Genomic DNA, 19,144 nt, shown 5'->3' on the forward strand with positions numbered 1-19,144 from the left:
GATTGTTGAGCTTGGCAAAGTGATAAGTGGTGCATGAGCCTTTTGCCCCTAAAAACAGTGGATTTATTTTTAAGTACACACATGCATATACATCACTGACTAGACGTGTGACTGGGGCAGTCATTTCACTCTCCAACATTCCACATCTGTTCCCTAAAAAGTGAAAGAGCTTGAGTTAGATCAATGCTTCCCAACCTTTTTCCGTGATCACACCCCTACAGAGCCTTTTTAGACTCTTTTCCCATGTCACCCTCCATCATAAAATATCAATGCCACAGTTAAACTGTACAACTGAATATGCACTGTATGTATGTCTGCACTTTATACATAAAGAGTATTTTTTTACCTCCCAAGAGAATGCATGAATTATATCCACAAGAAGGATCTCCAAGATTCCTTCTTACTTTAAAACCAGGAGGATGGTGCAGTGTTGTGGAGAATAACTGTATGTACTTTGGTAACAGATGGATTTAAGTTCAAATCCTAACTCCACCTCTTGCTTATCACATGACCTTGAATATGCTATTTAACTTCTCTGATACTAAGTATCTTCATGTGTAAAACTGGTGGAATGATACCTTTCACAGAGGGTTGTCATAAACATCAACTGAGGCAAAGTGGGTAAAGCCTGGCAACTGAACCTGGCACACTAAGCAATCAGTAATTGGTAACTTTTCACTTGGTTTATTTAAAATAAATCTGTACCTTACATCTGTATATCTAAAAAGTTAAGCACTGATCACAATATATGCAATAACTATAATCAATAAGTCAACAACCTATAATGTACTTTCATTTGTGCCTGTAATGTAGCCCCAAATGTCAGCTTCTATCATGACTTCAAAATTCTATTCAACTTTCAAGACCGAAATTAAATGTCACCTGCTTCAATGAATCTTTCCTCAGTTTCATTAAATGTAGATCTCCCCATCCTTTCAGCTCCCATGGTATACTCTGTTTACATCACTAGGGAGTCAAACATATTCCACTTTATAATTTATATTGATCTTAAGTGCCTTAAAGATAGGAAATCTGTTTTACTCCTCTTTGCTGCACACATGCACACACATACATACACACACACACAAACTCAACATAATAGATTTTCAGAAAATGTTTGCTAGACCAATGAATTAGTGCTGCAAAGTTGGATCCCAAAGATCAAATGTCACATTAGTACATTAACAACAAAAGGAAAAAGATAGTCTTAAATTAACATCTGTGTTAACATAATGACCTGTAAGAGAAATTAAAATATAGGTAGAAGTTTTTTAATTTTAAATCCTGAACATGAATCCCTAGTAAAAGCTCATCTTCCCATATTGTAGAGGTTGATGTAAAATCCTTCTGATAATAGTCAATTTATGAGACATATAAAATTTTTAAGAGGCTATTCCAGGGAAGGTAAGGATGCCCCTAATACATATCAAACTTGAGTTCTATGAAAAGTGTACAGCGTGTCTGTGTATCAGCCAGAAGAGTATTCTGGATCTCTGCTCTATCACTGTTACCGCTGGTCATGTTTTGTCATGCTCTTGTCTCAGCTGGGGAAATTCTGTGATAAGAGAAACACATACGTCAAATGTAACAGCAGAAAGCAAAGAGAAGCCGGAGGGAGTAACTATGTGAAGCATTTGTTTTTTAGACTCTATGATGTTTTAAGCATATACCTAATGCTTTTTACACATGCTGAATAACCAGGCTAATTAAAAAGCCCATACAGCTCTTGTTAAAATCTGTTCAAATTTTTTGGAGCACCTGTTATAACAGAATGCCCACAGACTTGATAGTTTAGAGCCAAGACACCTGCTACCTTATGTCTCACAGTATGTTCAGTTTTATACTGTTAGCAAAAAAATAAACACTTTTTGACATTTAGCAATCTTATACAAGAGATATGAAATTATCAGGAAGGAATGATAGTTTAACCCCTCCTGTGCTGCTCTGGGAAACCACACCCTTTCTTCTCTAGAAGGAAATGGATGTCTAATTTTGTCCCATGAAGTTACTATGGCTTCTCTAATCATCTGTAATTATGCAAGGTTTTCTAAAGAGTACAAGTATCTTCTTGGAAGCTTAAAGCAGGGGATTTTCTAGTCTAAAGAAGTTCTCAGTGAGCTAACTTAGATACATGCATTTAAGTGATGGCCAATTTACAAATTAGCTTTTCAGTGAGCCCTTTAACAAAGCACATCACTGTTTTGACTTTGTCAACTGTTTATGAAACCCCCAGACAGGTTTGATGTGATTAATCCTGGTGATGTTTTTAACAGAACTTTACTCGAAAATGCATTCACTTTTGAAGAACTATTATTATAATGTTCTATAGTTAGGAGTTTTCAGAGTCCAGATATATAAGTAGGAACATTTGAATATCTCTTTTAGATTCAATTATATGGTTAATAAACAAGTCTTTTAAGAATGACAATAAAATGGTTTTCAAGATATGTACTTTCTAAACAGCTGCCATTTTACCCGTAGTATTTCAGTCCCTTGAGGTCTGAAATGATGACTCATTTGACTGTGTTAGCCCAAAGTTGTACAATTAAGGGAACAAATATTTCACAAATACTTCACCTTGGTTAAAAAAAAAGTCTTTAATTTTATTGTCACAGTATAAAATTTAATTTATGCTAATGACATTTCTATAACAAAATCTGCCTTTGATCTAGCCATTCCAAATCTAGGATTATGTCTACTGTAAAGTCACATATATATAGAAATAAATGTAAGAATATAATTTTCAGGATTGTCTACATAGAAAAAGATTTGAAACAACATAAATATCTATTGATAGGGACCTGGGTAAATAAATTATAATAGATTAAAATAATAGAATATATGTTGTTGTTAGGTGAATAAAGCAGCTTTGTATATAGTGACATGAAACAATCTCCAAGACATACTGTTAAATGAAAAACATAAAGTATAAGAGCAAACAAATAACCAAACCAAACACACACACACACTTGAAAATTATAGCGGCCAGGCACAGTGGCTCATGTATGTAATCCCAGCACTTTGGGAGGTCGAGGTGGGTGGATCACTTGAGGTCAGGAGTTCAAGACCATCTTGGCCAACATGGCGAAACCCCGTCTCTACTAAAAATACAAAAATTAGCCAGGCATGGTTGGGTGCACCTGTAGTCCCAGCTACTCCAGGGGCTGAGGCAGGAGAACTTCTTGAACCCGGGAGGCGGAAGTTGCAGTGAACAAAGATTGCGCCACTGCACTCTAGCCTAGGTGACAGAGTGAGACTCTGTCTCAAAAACAACAACAACAGCAAAAAAAAAAAAAAAAAAAACAAAAAAACAAAAAACAAAAAAACAGAAAAGAAAAGAAAATTATAGCAACATTGACTATCTTTGGAAGGAAACACAATAAATTGATAACAGTGGTTATATCTGAAGGGGAAATTTGAGGATTAGGGGACAGGGATAGGAAAAAATACCTGTTTTTCACTGAAAAACTATTTTGTAACTTTAGCCATTTGTATTATGTATACATATTACCTACCCAAAATATTTTAAGATGTGAATTATAATAATGCATTAAATTTGGGAGGAAAGAAAAAAATGCGATGTATTATGGGCGTAATATAACATAATATTCTAAAAGTACTTCAAAATTTCCAGACTGTTACTTGGTTAACTCTAAATCAGTATTTAACAATATAAATCACAATTTAATGTCTAATTATCATGATGAAAACAGCTTTTAAATGTTGAATGTGTATATCTGTATTCAAATACAAGCTGTTTTGACTTTTAACCAACATACCAGAACTGGGAGTGATTTTATTGCATAATTAGAAAACAAACTGCAATATATTTTAAGATGTTTTTAAAGATAATGGGAAGCATTTTTAAATGTTCAAGAGAAATGATGTTTTAATTCCTGTACATTTATAAGAATGGAAATTCTATTTGTGTTGGGCACCAGAGAATGTATAGTTCAGTATGTACCTTGTCATTTTGTGCTGCAAGCATCCCAAACCTGATATTCCTGGGGCCTATTTCCTAAAATGGACAAGAATCGATTATGTGACTGCTCCAGGGCTTGCAACTGAGGAACAATATATGGTGCATAGCCCTATAAATCCTCACCCTGGTGGTCAGGACCTATTCTGGGAAATAATTTGAAGCAGATAACTTACTTTCAGACATCCCTTCTCCCCTTCTTCAGAGGAGATTCTAGTCTTTCAAAAATAACTTTTCCATCCTCAAGAACTCTGCATCAGCCAGCTCCCCAAAACCATCAGATGAACAGACTAAATTATGCTATACTTAATGTTTATATGCATTTTAAAAGAGAACAAAATTATGCCTAGAATTCACATAAGGAGTAAATTCTGACAAAGAAATAACAGGCTTCAGTAGGAAATATTGTGGAGAGTGGATGAGGGAGATTGACACTGAGGCAGACTGAGACCAACAATCACACCACATCAGCCTGCTGGCCTTCTTGGGCAATGCTGGATTCACTTTAGAAACCCACATTACTGCTTTGTGCAAGCAGTAATGGCATGCCAGTCATTAGTAATGCTTACCATATACTTCTAGTTCTCCCCTTTCTGGACCATGATAGGGTTCTATTTCCTGGCTCCTTTGTCAGGTGGGGCCACATGACTATCTCAGCCAGTGTTTGGGGAAATGGGTGGTGTACGACACTTCTGAGCCAGAGCATTTACTTACTCTAGGCCAGGGTGAGAGCCTGCAGAGCTATCTTTCCTCTGCCATGAAGACCAGCAAGAGTCCATAGCAGGTGCTCTGTTGAGAGCATCCTGGAGGAGGAAATAAACCTATGTGAGCAAGAAATAAATCTTTGTTTTTTTTAAGTTATTAACACTTGGGGGTTATTTGTTGCCACAATATAAACCAGCCTCTCCTTACTGATACATATGGGAGATACAGTATACATGCACAAGTGACTAAGAACAGCCTTCAGGGTTACAAAGGTAGTAATGACTGCTAAGTTATCACAACTGTAAGTTTGACCTTAATTTTATAAAAACATTTTCCACTTGCTCATTAAGGCCTTTTCCCAAGTACAAATTTTGAGTACCTGCCTGGAAGGTGGTAAATTACACAATTTGGAGACTGAGGAAATGAGACGCAATGTCTCTCTTTCTTTCTCTTTCTCCCTCCCTCCCTCTTACAGTTTGATGAGGAATTATCAATAAGAAAAAAAACCCTGAAAAGTGGATATCTAAACAACTTAGCACAAGATATTTTATTAAACTGCTATATAGAAAACAGTCTATTCATGAGAAAAGTTTATATAATTCCAAGACACTTTAAATTCCTCAGTTTGTCACATTGACGCTACAGAGGAGGTCACATAGTAAATTGTTATAGTCGGAGAAAATCTCAGAAAAACCGAACTTGATTCTTAGAATATCACCATCCCATATTTCAATAGCACTTTCGAATTTGAAGAGTACTTTCTTGAATATCACCTTTCCCAGGCTCATTGTTTATCTGGCATGTGGCTCCTCTTCATGTGTATATACCCATACAACAACACTCTACATTTTCTGGGACAAGTTCTCTTACCTCCATACTACTGGAATGAAAACTGAAGTTCAGTAAGTCCAAGTGATTAACTAACCCAAGACCTTATGATCAATAAGTGAAAAGGTCAAGATTCACAATCAGATTTTCTTACTAAGTTCAGGGAATTCACTCACTGTTCCACGGAAATAGAAACCATTGAAGGAAAAGACCCAGAAGAGTATCAGCCTATGGTCAGGGAAAGCTTCTGGGAAAAAGTGATACCTGTGTACAAGCCTGTCACTGCCCTGCCAGGTGTATGTCTTTGTACTAGTCAGTGATTATCTTTGTATCTTCAGTGTGGTGCTCAACGCATGTTGAATGAATGAGCAAATGTATTGAATGAGTAAAGATGTCATTTTAATGTTTTTATTTAAGTTCGGGGATACATGTGCAGAACGTGCAGATTTGTTACATAGGTACATGTGTGTCATGGTGGTTTGCTGCACCTATCAATCCATCATCTAGGCTTTAAGCCCCACATGCATTAGGTATTTGTCCTAAATGTTCTCCCTCCCCTTACCCCCCAGTCCCCAACAGACCTCAGTTGTTGTTCCTTTCCCTGTGTCCATGTGTTTTCATTGTTCAACTCCCACTTATGAGTGAGAACATACAGTGTTTGGTTTTCTGTTCCTGTGTTAGTTTGCTGAGGATTACAGCTTCCAGCTTCATACATGTCCCTGCAAAAGACATGATCTCATTCCTTTTTACGGCTGCATAGTATTCCATGGTGTATATGTACCACATTTTCTTTATCCAGTCTATCATTGATGGGCATTTGGGTTGGTTCCAAGTCTTTGCTATTGAAAATAGTGCTGCAGTAAACATACGTGTGCAAGTGTCTTTATAGTAGTATGATTTATATTTCTTTGGGTATATACCCAGTAATGGGATTGCTGGGTCAAATGGTATTTCTGGTTCTAGATCCTTGAGGAATCGCCACACTCTCTTCAACAATGGTTGAACTAATTTACATTCCCACCAACAGTGTAAAAGCATTCCTATTTCTCCACAGCCTCGCCAGCATCTATTGTTTCTTGACATTTTAGTAATCACCATTCTGACTGGCAGGAGATGGTATCTCATTGTGGTTTTGATTTGCATTTCTCTAATGATCAGTGATGTTGAGCTTTTTTTCACGTTTCTTGGCTACATAAATGTCTTCGTTTGAGAAGTGTCTGTTCATATCCTTTGCCCACTTTTTGATGGGGTTGTTTGTTTTTTCCTTGTAAACTTGTTTAAATTACTTGTAGATTCTGGATATTAGCCCTTTGTCAGATGGGTAGATTGCAAAAATTTTCTCCCATTCTGTCGGTTGCCTTTTCACTCTGATGATAGTTTCTTTTGCTGTGCAGAAGCTCTTTAGTTTAATTAGATCCTATTTGTCAATTTTGGCTTTTGTTGCAATTGCTCTTGACATTTTCATCATGAAGTCCTTGCCCATGCCTATGTCCTGAATGGTATTGCCTAAGTTTTCTTCTAGGGTTTTTATGGTTTTGGTTTTACATTTAAGTCTTTAATCCATCTTGAGTTAATTTTTGTATAAGGTATAGGGAAGGGGTCCAGTTTCAGCTTTCCACATATAGCTAGCCAGTTTTCCCAGCACCATTTATTAAGTAGGGAGTCCTTTCCCCAGTGCTTGTTTTTGTCAGGTTTGTCAAAGGTTTGCACAAAATCAATGTGCAAAAATCACAAGCATTCCTGTATACCAACAATAGACAAGCAGGGAGTGAAATCATGAATGAACTCCCATTCACAATTGCTAGAAAGAGAATAAAATACCTAGGAATACAGTTAACAAGGGATGTGAAGGACCTTTTTAAGAAGAACTACAAACCACTGCTCAAGGAAATGAGAGAGGCCCCAACAAATGAGAAAAATTCCATGCTCATGGATAGGAAGAATCAATATTGTGAAAATGGCCATACTGCCCAAAGTAATTTATAGATTCAGTGCTATTCCCATCAAACCACTATTGAAATTCTTCACAGAATTAGAAAAACTACTTTAAATTTCATATGGAACCAAAAAAGAGCGCGTATAGCCAAGACAACCCTAAGCAAAAAAAACAAAGCTGGAGGCATCACACTACCTGACTTCAAACTATACTATGAGGATACAGTAACCAAAACAGAATGGTACTAGTACCTAAATAGACATATAGACCAATGGAACAGAACAGAGACCTCAGAAATAACACCACACACCTACAAGATGATATTTTTAGATATGCAGTCATCCTTGTTATCTGCAGGAGATTGGTTCTATGCCCACTCCCACCCCCTCCCCAGGATACCAAAATCCACAGATGCTGAAGTTCCTTATATAACAGAGTGTAGTATTTGCATATAACCTACCTACATCCCTCTGTATACTTTAAATCATCTCCAGATTACTTGTAATACATAATACAATGTAAATGCATTATAAATAGTTACACTGTATTCTCTTTTAATTTGTTTTATTATTTTTTTAACATATTTTCAACCTGTGGCTGGTTGAATCCATGGATGTGGAACCAACACACACACAGGGGGCTGACTGTATATTGAACTTTCATTCTCAAGAGAACGCACATTAAATTCCCAAACTCACAATCCCAGGTCTTGACCTCTGACATTTGCAGGACCCAGGGCAACAGTACAAATAGGAGTCCACATACCATATGTCCAATTGTTTCAAAAGTAGAAAGCAAGCTGCTGGTGATTAGATAAAAGATATTCTATTCTCCTGCCTTGACAAACACATCTTTATAATGATAAAAAATTAAAGTGTGTGAAAAGCTATGATTTTTATATATAGTAATTGAAATTAAGCAAAATATCAAAAAGGAATAAATTGAATTTCATCATGTATGTATGTTCATAGGTTAGTAATGTTTTTATGACAAGTACAATACATATAATTCATAATTTATTATATATTATTCCATAAAATGTTTCTGTCTTGCTTTAATTTCCATAGCATCACAAATGTTGTTATAATCAAGATTTTCACATTATTTGTGCTTTATTGATAGTAATGCCAAATTAGACAAACTTTCTTGAGTCACTGTTGTTTTTAAATAAATTTTTATTAATTCCTGTTTAAAGAAACTTGGCTCTGCTGAGGCAATAGGGGCAGGAATTGTCAAGTTATTAATTCAATAGTTAGATTTAGAAATGAGTAAGATATACATGTCTTGCTCAGATATTGTAAAAGTGATATATTGATAAATTATTACAGAAAATATTGCAAAATATTTTTAACTTCACCATATGTATAGCTATTGCCTATATTGCAACTTTTATCATCTCTTAAAGCAATATGTAGATCTACTCATAATGTAAAAAATCAATATCTTTTACATGCTTCAAAAATTTTAAGCTAAAACCTATATATATACACAAATCCGAGTAATATAAACTAATCCTACAGAATTTCTACAGCTTTGTGCAACTGTTTCAAATATTGCACTAATTTATGAGTACCTCTAGAACCACAAATTGGAACAAGAAGTGAAGCGAGAAAATAGACATTCAGCACTGGGATACTTCACCATAACAAGAATCTATTTCATGCATGTTAATTAAGAGGGAGAATTTAACAAGTTAGACATTTATATTTTCATGTAGCTCAGTGTTTCCACTGCTCCTGGATTCCAAGTAGTGTGTGTCTTCCATACCAATAGTATTTCAACCCATACACTTCCATGCCATTTGAACGGGTGACTTTTGTTTTGAGGCCATCAAGCAGATTTGAAGAAGGATTTCTCTGTGGCCTGAATGGTGTTTGTCCTGAGACTGAATTTTTAGGATTACCAAGTGACAGAGGCACCCATGCATTCTTTAATGAATTCATTTTATGTGTGATACAAGGGGCCCTCTAAATTGTAGGACCTGGACAGAGACTCCTCTTTCCTGGGCTAAGAGCTGTACTCATTGCAGCAATGCAGAGGGACATTCCAAAAGGAATTAAGTCACTTATGTAAATCCTTCAGGAGAGATTTTGCCAGCCTCCTTTTCACCTTACCTCCTGTTCATCATTAATTATGCATGGTTGAGAAGATGTAAGAAAAACAAAATAGTATGATTTAGCACAAGCTTGTCCAACCCGCAGCCTTGATCCCACGTGCAGCCCAGGACGGCTTTGAATGTGGCCCAACACAAATTCATACTTTCTTAAAACATAATGTGATTTTGGGGGATTTTTGTTGTTGTTGTTCTCAGCTATCATTACTATTAGCGTATTTTTTGTATGGCCCAAGACAATTCTTCCAATGTGACCCAGGAAAGCCAAAATATTGGACACCCCTGATTTAGTACATCTTACATTCTTAAGCATTGATATAAGCACTTTATGTGCTTTAACATATTTTTATCTTCACAACCAAAGAAATAAATAATCTTATTATTCCTTTTTTTTAATGAGAAAATTGAGACACAAAGGTTACACAACTTGCCTCAGGTCACAGAGCTGGGAAGCAGTGGAGCTGGTAGGACAGAAATTAGTCAATGATTCTTTTATTCCGTGACTTCTTCCTTCTTCAGGTCTTACTTTTGATTTGCTTTTTGATTAAAGATTTTCTCAAAACAGTGCTAACACATTTAACAATGTGTTAAAACTGCTTGGGTTCTAATCCTGACTCTACCACTTGCCAACTGGGTATCCTTAGAAGTCACACTCTGTAAAGCAGAAACGGTCATAGTACCAATCTCATAGTGTTAATGTGAGAAATAAATCATGTAATAATGTACAGCATTTTTAATATTAGGTGCCATGTAAATGTTTGCTTTTGTTATTGTTCTGTTATTATGTATGGTTTATTTTCTAAGCTGCCCAATATGGAAAAAATCGTGACTTTCTTAGAGCTCTGTTGTGTGGTAGTTGAGTTAAAATATGAAAGACACTTAAAACAATGCCAGGCCAGGCGTGGTCGTTCCTGCCTGTAATCCCAGCACTTTAGGAGGCTGAGGCGATCACCTGAAGTCAGGAGTTTGAGTCCAGCCTGGGCAACATGGCAAAATCCCATCTCTACTAAAAATACAAAAATTAGCTGGGCATGGTGGCAGCCGTCTGTAATCCCAGGTACTCGGGAGGCTGAGGCAGGAGAGTCGCTTTAACTCGGGAGGCAGAGGTTGCAGTGAGCCAAGATCGCGCCACTACACTCCAGCCTGGGTGACAGAGCTCCATCTCAAAACAAACAAACAAACTTTGTATGTCCGTGTGTCAGTGGGGCTCATTCCAACATTTTGCCCCAGCACACTGAGGCGTGAGGCACGCTTCCAGAAGTAGCAGGGGCTACTGGGATATTTTGAGAGTATTTAAATAGTGAGCAGAAGGAACAGATAAGGGGAGAAAGTAGAGAATTAAACATGAGAGAGAACAAAAGAACAATGAAAAGTGTGAGGCCTTGGAAGAACTGTGAGAAATGGAATTCAAAGGGTTATTAAGGAATTAACCTCAGGAAGGAAAAGGAGCACATATTCGTGTGTAATACAGGGTAACAAAGAATGACTAGTGAGAATGAAGATGTTTACAGATTAGTTGGCAGAACTGGGGGAAATTTCTCTCTGGTGACCTCAATTTTCCCTATAAAATAGGAAGTGAAGTCATCTGTTGGACATAGTGAGAGCCAAATTTTGAAGAGAGAATAGAGGAAGTTTGAAATAGTAGCTGCAGAGAAGGGAAGAGATAATGGGACAGGCTTGAAGACCTAAATGACTTTACAATGGTTCAGAACACATGATGTGGCTGTGCGGTTTCCTTTAACACTGCTCAGAAATACTGTATGAGTTCAGGGAAAACAGCTGGGTTGGGGTTTTGCGAGGCTGTCACTATGGAAGGAAATACAGGTTTAAAGATACTGACAAAACAAAGGATGAAGTGATAAACCACAATGTCTAGATTCAGTTGACAAGGAAGATGACGGGGGAGTTGGGAGCAAGAAGTGGGGTTTATTTGGGGACACAGGTGACATTGAAGGATTGGGTGGCAGTAGCCAAATGTGAAGGTCACAAGGCAGTATAACTATGGTCAGAGATTTCCCAACAGTACAGATTTGAATGTAATATTTCAGAAGGTTCTGGATCATGACAGCATCAGGGTGCTGCCCTGGGAGGAGGGGCTGAAGAGAAACACAGTAAAAGTCCCTAGAGATGAGAAAATAAAGAAACTGAGAGGCCAAGCAATTGGATGGTATATTAGTTTGCTAGGGCTTCCCAAGTGCCACAGACTGGGTGGCTTAAACCACAGAAATTCATTTCCTCACAGTTGTGGAGGCTGGCACTCTGAGATCAAGGCGTGAGCAAGGTCTTTCTTCAGAGGCTTGTCTTGGCTTGTCGGTAGCCGTATTCTCCCTGTGCCTTTAAGTGTTCTTTCTTCTCTGTCTGTGAACTAATCTTCCCTTACAAGGACATGGGTCATATTGGATTGAGACCAATCTCCAAAGACTTCATTTAACCTTCATTAACTCTTTAAAGACCCCATTTCCAAATATAGTCATATCCTGGGGCAATAGAACTTAGGACTTCAACATATGAATGGGGATGGAGCTGAAAACACAATTTAGCCCACAACAGAATGGTCATTCAGGAAGAGACAGAGGGCACCCAGAATGGTGGTAAAATGGGTAGAGATGATGAGGGGAAATGAGGTACCCAACTCTTCAGTGTTTAAGGTGGCTAATTAGCTTGTTGCTGTTTCATAGAGTTTGTGTATTCCTCCATATTATTTAGGATTCCAAGCCATTTTTTTGTGCAGTATTTTTTTCATAGACCCATAACCCATGTCAGTTTTTTTGTTGTAGTGTCAATTTTTGTCTTTTACCAAAGACAGGGATTGTGGCTTGTACAACCCTATCCATTCAGCTAAGTGTGAGCCCCTCATTGACTGTGTAGCTGGAAATCTGGCTAAAATGACAAGTACCTGGACAAACATTCGTCATATATGACAGCATAAGACTAACAGAGAATCCACTCTCACTCCACCCCACTCTCACTCCATGGCTAGATTCTCTGACACACTGAACATAGAGCATAAAACAAAGCCTCAACCTACAATGCACACACATACTCCTAGAACTCTTAGAACTTTCCCATTTTCTACCCTTGTCATAATAAAAATGCCTACCATTTATTGAACAAAGCATTGTACAAGGTACTATGCTTTGTGCTGTACATTCACTATCTCATTTAATACTAACAGCAACCCTAGATGAGGAAATTGAGTAGAGAGAGGTTAAATAACCCACTTAGAGTCACCTAGCTAGTAAGTGGCAAGTCTGTCTGACTCTTCAAGTACTACATTCAACTACAGTGCTTTATTTGTGGGGACCAAATCTCCCCAGATGCAATGGCATGCCACCAATCCCATTCCCTTCCAGGGTGTTTATGAATTGATGTGGAAAGTGGGAGTGAAGAACAGTATACCTCAAAAAGTACTTCTTTTGTCATCCATTTTTTTTCTTGATTGTTCTAAACCCTGGACCAATCAGCAGGGCTCATGGAGAAATACTTGGCTTTTTACCTTCTTTCAGCTTAGCTGTCCTGTTATATTTCAGGAGGCAATTATTAGCTAACTTAAAAATTGTTTTTCCTCAATCTGCTTTTATTTCCTTGTGGAAATGGATACAAATTTTTATAGGTTTTAGCAATAGATTATCTGTCAGTTTTAGTTTTAGCATGAGGTAATGTGAGGTTTGCCTTTTACCAGTATTTCATAAACATTTAGTGGGCGAGTGGGAGAAATTGAATCAGTGGCTGCCAATTGCATGCCATTTTATTATAGGATTTTCTCCCTTTGTGTTTTTTATACCTCTTTCTCTCATGATGGTACTTTCTATTATCTCAGAAAACCATTAGGGTCATTGACAATTTAGTGTTTGAAGTTGCTGAGCTGAGAGGGACATTAACGTCAAGTCATAATGAGAATCTACCTACCCATTTATCAAGTAGGTTTTTCCTCTTTGTAGACCCTTTGGGCTTTGGCGGTTGAGACTAGAAGGATTAAGTTAGAATACAGAGGATAATTTATTGCTATGAAAATTTTCCAACTCTGCTCAACTTGGGTTCAGATTAATAATCAACTCATGAGACACAAAAGACTTCACTTAACTCCAAATTTACTTTGTTTTTAGAAAGAATCAAAAAGTAACAGCACAGTATGTAAAGTAACAGTGTAGTAGAGGTCTCGCAACTCCTAGGCACAGCTTCCAATGTCCAAATCCCACACACTTGGGAAATGTATGGTCATAATGACAGATGAAGCTGAGTAGACACAGCATCTCTAAGCTCAAGGAAGCCATATGTCTCAGTCTGTTTTTTGCTGCTGTTATACCACAAACTGGGTAATTTAAAAAGAAGTTTCCTTGGTTCATGGTTCTGGAGACCAGGAAGTCCAAGACTGAGGAGCCATATCTGGTGAAGGTCTTCTTGCTGCATTATAACAGCAGAAAGCATCATATAGTGAGAAGAGTGACAGCACTCAAGACAGAGAAAAAGGGGGACAGACTCTCACAATCACAAACCTATTCCTGAAATAATGTTGTTAATCCATTCATGAGGGCAGAGCCCCACGACCTAATCACCTCTTTTTTTTTTCTTTTGAGACACAGTCTCATTCCCTCACCCAGGCTGGAGTGCAGTGGCACGATCTCAGCTCACTGTAACCTCCACCTCCCGAGTTCAAGCAATTATCATGACTCAACGTCCCAAGTAGCTGGGATTATAGGTGCATGCCACCATGCCCTGTTAATTTTTTTGTATTTTTAGTAGAGACAGGGTTTCACCATGTCTTGAACTCCTGACCTCAAATTCCTGATCCGCTCTCCTAAGCTTCCCAAAGTGCTGGCAATATAGATGTCAGCCACCACACTCGGCCCTAATCACCTCTTAACACCATCACAATGACAACTGAATATCAGTATTAGTTTTAGAGGGGACATTCAAACCATAGCACCATCAGTTCTGGCATATCTTCACCTTTCATACCTCGCTAGCTGTGCAGCTGCATCTCATCAATACTGGTTACTCGCTACTTGATAGACAATGTTAACAGTAAGGTACAGGTGCTAGGTTTCATAGACAATAGAACTTGCATTTATTTTAGATCTGGCATAGGGAAACTTTTTTCTGATGAAAAATATATTTTTATTTATAATGCTTTAACATGTAGGGAATTGGATAAGATTTTTTTTGTTGTTTTCTTTTTAATTTTACTTTAAGTTCTGGGATACATGTGCAGAACGTGCAGGTTTGTTACATAGGTACACATGTGCCATGGTGATTTGCTGCACCTATCAACCGTCATCTAGGTTTTAAATCCCGCATGCATTAGGTATTTGTCCTAATGCTCTCCACACCGTCTTCCACAATAGTTGAACTAATTTACATTCCCACCAACAGTGTAAAAACGTTCCTATTTCTCCACACCCTTACCAGCATCTATTGTTTCCTGACTTTTTCTTAGATTTTTTTTTAATTACACTTTAAGTTCTGGGATACATGTGCAGAACATGCAGGTTTGTTACATAGGTATACACATGCCATGGTGGTTTGCTGCACCCATCAACCCATCATCTACCTTAGGTATTTCTCCTAATGCTATCTCTCCCCTAGCCACCCCCACCCCCGACAGGCCTCAGTGTGTGATGTTCCCCTCCCTGTGTCCATGTGTTCTCATTGTTCAGCTCCCACTTATGAGTGAGAACATGCAGTGTTTGGTTTTCTGTTCTTGTGATAGTTTGCTGAGAATGATGGTTTCCAGCTTCATCCATACCCTTGCAAAGGACATGAACTCATCGTTTTTTATGACTGCATAGTATTCCATGGTGTATATGTGCCACATTTTCTTTATCCAGCCCATCATTAATGGACATTTGGGTTGGTTCCAAGTCTTTGCTATTGTGAAGAGTGCTGCAATAAACATATGTGTGCATGTGTCTTCATAGTAGAATGATTTATAATCCTTTGGGTATATACTCAGTAATGGGATGGCTGGGTCAAATGGTATTTCTAGCTCTAGATCCTTGAGGAATCATCACACTGTCTTCCACAGTGGTTGAACTAATTTACACTACCACCAACACTGTAAAAGTGTTCCTATTTCTCCACATCCTCTCCAGCATCTGTTGTTTCCTGACTTTTTAATGATTGCCATTCTAACTGGTATGAGATAGTAGCTCATCATGGTTTTGATTTGCATTTCTCTAATGGCCAGTGATGATGAGCTTTTTCCTGTTTGTTGGCTGCATAAATGTCTTCTTTTGAGAAGTGTCTGTTCATATCCTTTGCCCACTTTTTGATGGGGTTGTTTTTTTCTTGTAAATTTGTTTAAGTTCCTTGTAGATTCTGGATATTAGCCCCTTGTCAGATGGATAGAGTGCAAAAATTTTCTCACATTCTGTAGGTTTTCATAGGGAAACTTTTAATAGTTCCTTGAGTTGTGTTGTAAGCAGCATAAGAACAAGGGCCAAACCCTCAGGCATCCTGAGGCAAAAGAAGCAGATTTTAACCCTTTCTTTCATCCTGCAAAGCCAACTATAAAAATGAACTAAAAAAAGGAATAAGTTCATTTAATTTACAAGGAGCACTTTTAATTTTTCAAAAGACAGGTGACCTTTTTTAAAAACAGGAGGAAAGGGGAATTTCAATTCCTGAAATTTCATTTTCTTTTCTGTAAAAGCAAATAAGTATTTCTCTCTAACTCAAAACACTGTTGCATTTTACCTACTGTTCTATCCAGTGAACTTACAGAAATGTAATAATTTGAATAATGTTTGGGGGATCTAATTGATCCAGGAAACCTATCAAAAATCAGATACATACATTCATTGATAACTCATTTCTGCTATTTCATTGATACTATACAAAGGAAGATATTGCCCATGATATGGATTCTTTTATTTCCATATGCATGTAATGTGGGTATGTGCAATGTACATTATGTTGTACAATCTATAAAGTATGTAATAGCTTTATTTTATATTAATTAAAAATGTATGCACATATATAAATAAACAAATCTATAACCTAAATTTAAAAAATCATTGGTAAAACTTTATTATGCCCTTTAAAATCCTTAGTATTTTGACACATTTCATTGCTAAAATAAAACTGTTTTAATTTAAGCTAAGAAAACTAATTGGTATCAGATACTAAAAGTTCTTGTAAGTTGCTGAAAGTGTTAGTTCTGGGAATAGCATTTTTACATTTTTTGTATTGATTTGCCTTTGAGACAAACTGCAACAAGAAAGCAGGTGATAAGCCTTTGTTAATGCCTCTGAGAGAAAATGCTGTAGCTACAGACTACTGTTGATAAACAGATTTTGAATTAATTAGTTCTACATAATTATGTGAGCCATCAAGTCTTTGAAACCAAATGTACTTGGTCTTATATTGCTTTATATATAAAGAAGAAAAGGAAAAATTTTGTTTTAAAATTTACCTCTTCCAGGGTATAATTTTTTACAGGTTTAATTTTTTAAAGCAATGATTGAAAGATTTAAACGGCATATGTTCAAGTCATATTAAATATTTATTCTTAGATTTATAAAATGAGATAAGAAGAGGTTTGCTTTTTATAAATTGTTACCATTAGTGACAGAACTGGGACTCAGAGCATGTGACTATTCCTGCCTCATACTTCATGAAAGTCATATTTTGTTGCCAGAAGATGCCAATGTGAACATCTTCAAAAAAAAATAGCCTGATGCTAAAAGGTCAGGCTTTCAATAAGATACTTTTAATAGTTTTGCCCAAACATTTACAATAGCAACAACAAAAAAAAATTTAAAGAAAAGCAGAGAAAAAAATCTTAAAAAGAAATTGGGAAAAACTAAAAATATTTTTGAGCGACATAAAAGAAGCCTTAATAAATGGAGTGATATATAAATAAACATAAGAAGATTCAATATTATACAATTGTGAATTATTACCAAGTCAATATATATGTTTAATACAATTGAATCAAAAGCTCAATTAGTTTTTTTGGCGTTTGGGACAATTTTTAAAGAAATTATCTAGGGAAAAAACATGAGGACAAGAAAATTATTCAAAAGAAAATTTATGTGGAACAACTTGCTGTATTAGAAATTGACATATTATAAAGCTATTATAGTTTTCAAAAAGTGATACCAATGTAAGAATAGGCAGAAAGATGAAACAGAATAGATAGCCCAAAGACCAGCGTAAATTAAAATTTACCCTAAGGATACAATCCAAGTTTTGTACCCAGAAATATTCTTCTTAATATTGCCTTATGATAAAAATGTTAAGAAACTCCTAAAAGAGTCAACCAAGGTGAGTGGTTAAACGATGACACATCTATGTAGGGGATGGAATATTATACAACTATTTAAAAGCACAGTTTGGAAAAATAATTGCATGGAAATATGTTTATGAAAAAATATTAAGTGGAAAACACATGAGTCAAAGCTATGCATATACTTACATATTTTTATAATGTGTATCTTTATATTTTTATTTTTAAAAGATTGAAAGGAAATACATCAAAGTATTAAAATTAGTTATCAGTGTATAATAAAACTATGCATTACTTTTTACATTTTTTACATTTGTTTGTATTTTCTAATTTTTTTATAATTGTTAGCATCTGAGAGACTTTATGTCTACCCATACCTCAATAATTTTTTTAAAAAAATAATTTAAAAAATTATTTTTAAAAAATTATTTTTTTAAAAAATTATTTTAAAAAAATTAATTATTTTTTTAAAAAATTATTTTAAAAAAATTAATTATTTTTTTAAAAAATATTTTAAAAAATTTAAAGCTGGTTTTTTTTTTCGTAGTTAATTTATGGGTTATCTAACTTTGTTGATACTGACTTCAGCAACTTAAAATGCAGTGAGGTTTCTCTGTTGCCTCAAATTCCAAAATATCAAATGTCATTTTTCTTTGGGTACTGTATAAGCCACCAAACAACCCAACGAGAGCATATAAATAAGTTATATATGAATGTAAGGCAAGAATAACTTGCTGTTCCAAGTTATTGGAACCTCAATTGTTCAGGTCTGTTGTACAATTATATTATGCCTAGTGTTATACTTCCCAGTGGAAGAAAGCCTACTTTCTTATACCAGGAGAATAATTATCAGTAGAACAAGGCCTATTTCTAATATATATTTTTATCATTTTATAGGTATTTGGCTACAATTAACGGAGATCCCCAACTCAAATTTACTTCAACAATGGGAAAATTGATTATCCTACATAAGAAGTCTGGAGCTTGGGTGGGCTCCAAGAAGTATAATCAATGTTTATGCCGAAAGGGGCCCAAGTCCTTTCTACCTCTCCATTCAGCCATTGTTCATGTGTTGGCTTTATTCCCAGGCTGGTTCCCTTCATGGGAACAAAAATTCTATAGTGGTTTTTGTCATAAAAATGCCAAGAGAAAACAAACCGTCTCTTCCTGTGTCTCTTTCTTAGAAGCAAGGAAACCTTTCACAGAAACCCCCATCAGACTACTCCTCAAACCTCCTTGGCCAGAGCTGAGTCATGTGACCCTTCTTAAACCAACTGCAGGCAAGGGGGAGGAGATTAACATAATTGTCATAGACAAATCAGCCTTGTGGTCAGCTTCCCCTGAAACACTTGG

The 19,144-nt window shown here is 36.3% G+C and overlaps 1 annotated feature.

Moving 5' to 3' along the window:
* Window positions 18,850-19,144: an enhancer, noted in NCBI's record as "tiled region #6450; K562 Activating non-DNase unmatched - State 23:Low". NCBI's record gives its function as "activates a minimal TATA promoter and a strong SV40 promoter by Sharpr-MPRA in K562 cells {active_cell/tissue: K562}" and the evidence as "EXISTENCE:reporter gene assay evidence [ECO:0000049][PMID:27701403]".

This window comes from Homo sapiens, chromosome 2 (assembly GCF_000001405.40).
Source record: "Homo sapiens chromosome 2, GRCh38.p14 Primary Assembly".
NCBI classification, from domain to species: domain Eukaryota; kingdom Metazoa; phylum Chordata; class Mammalia; order Primates; family Hominidae; genus Homo; species Homo sapiens.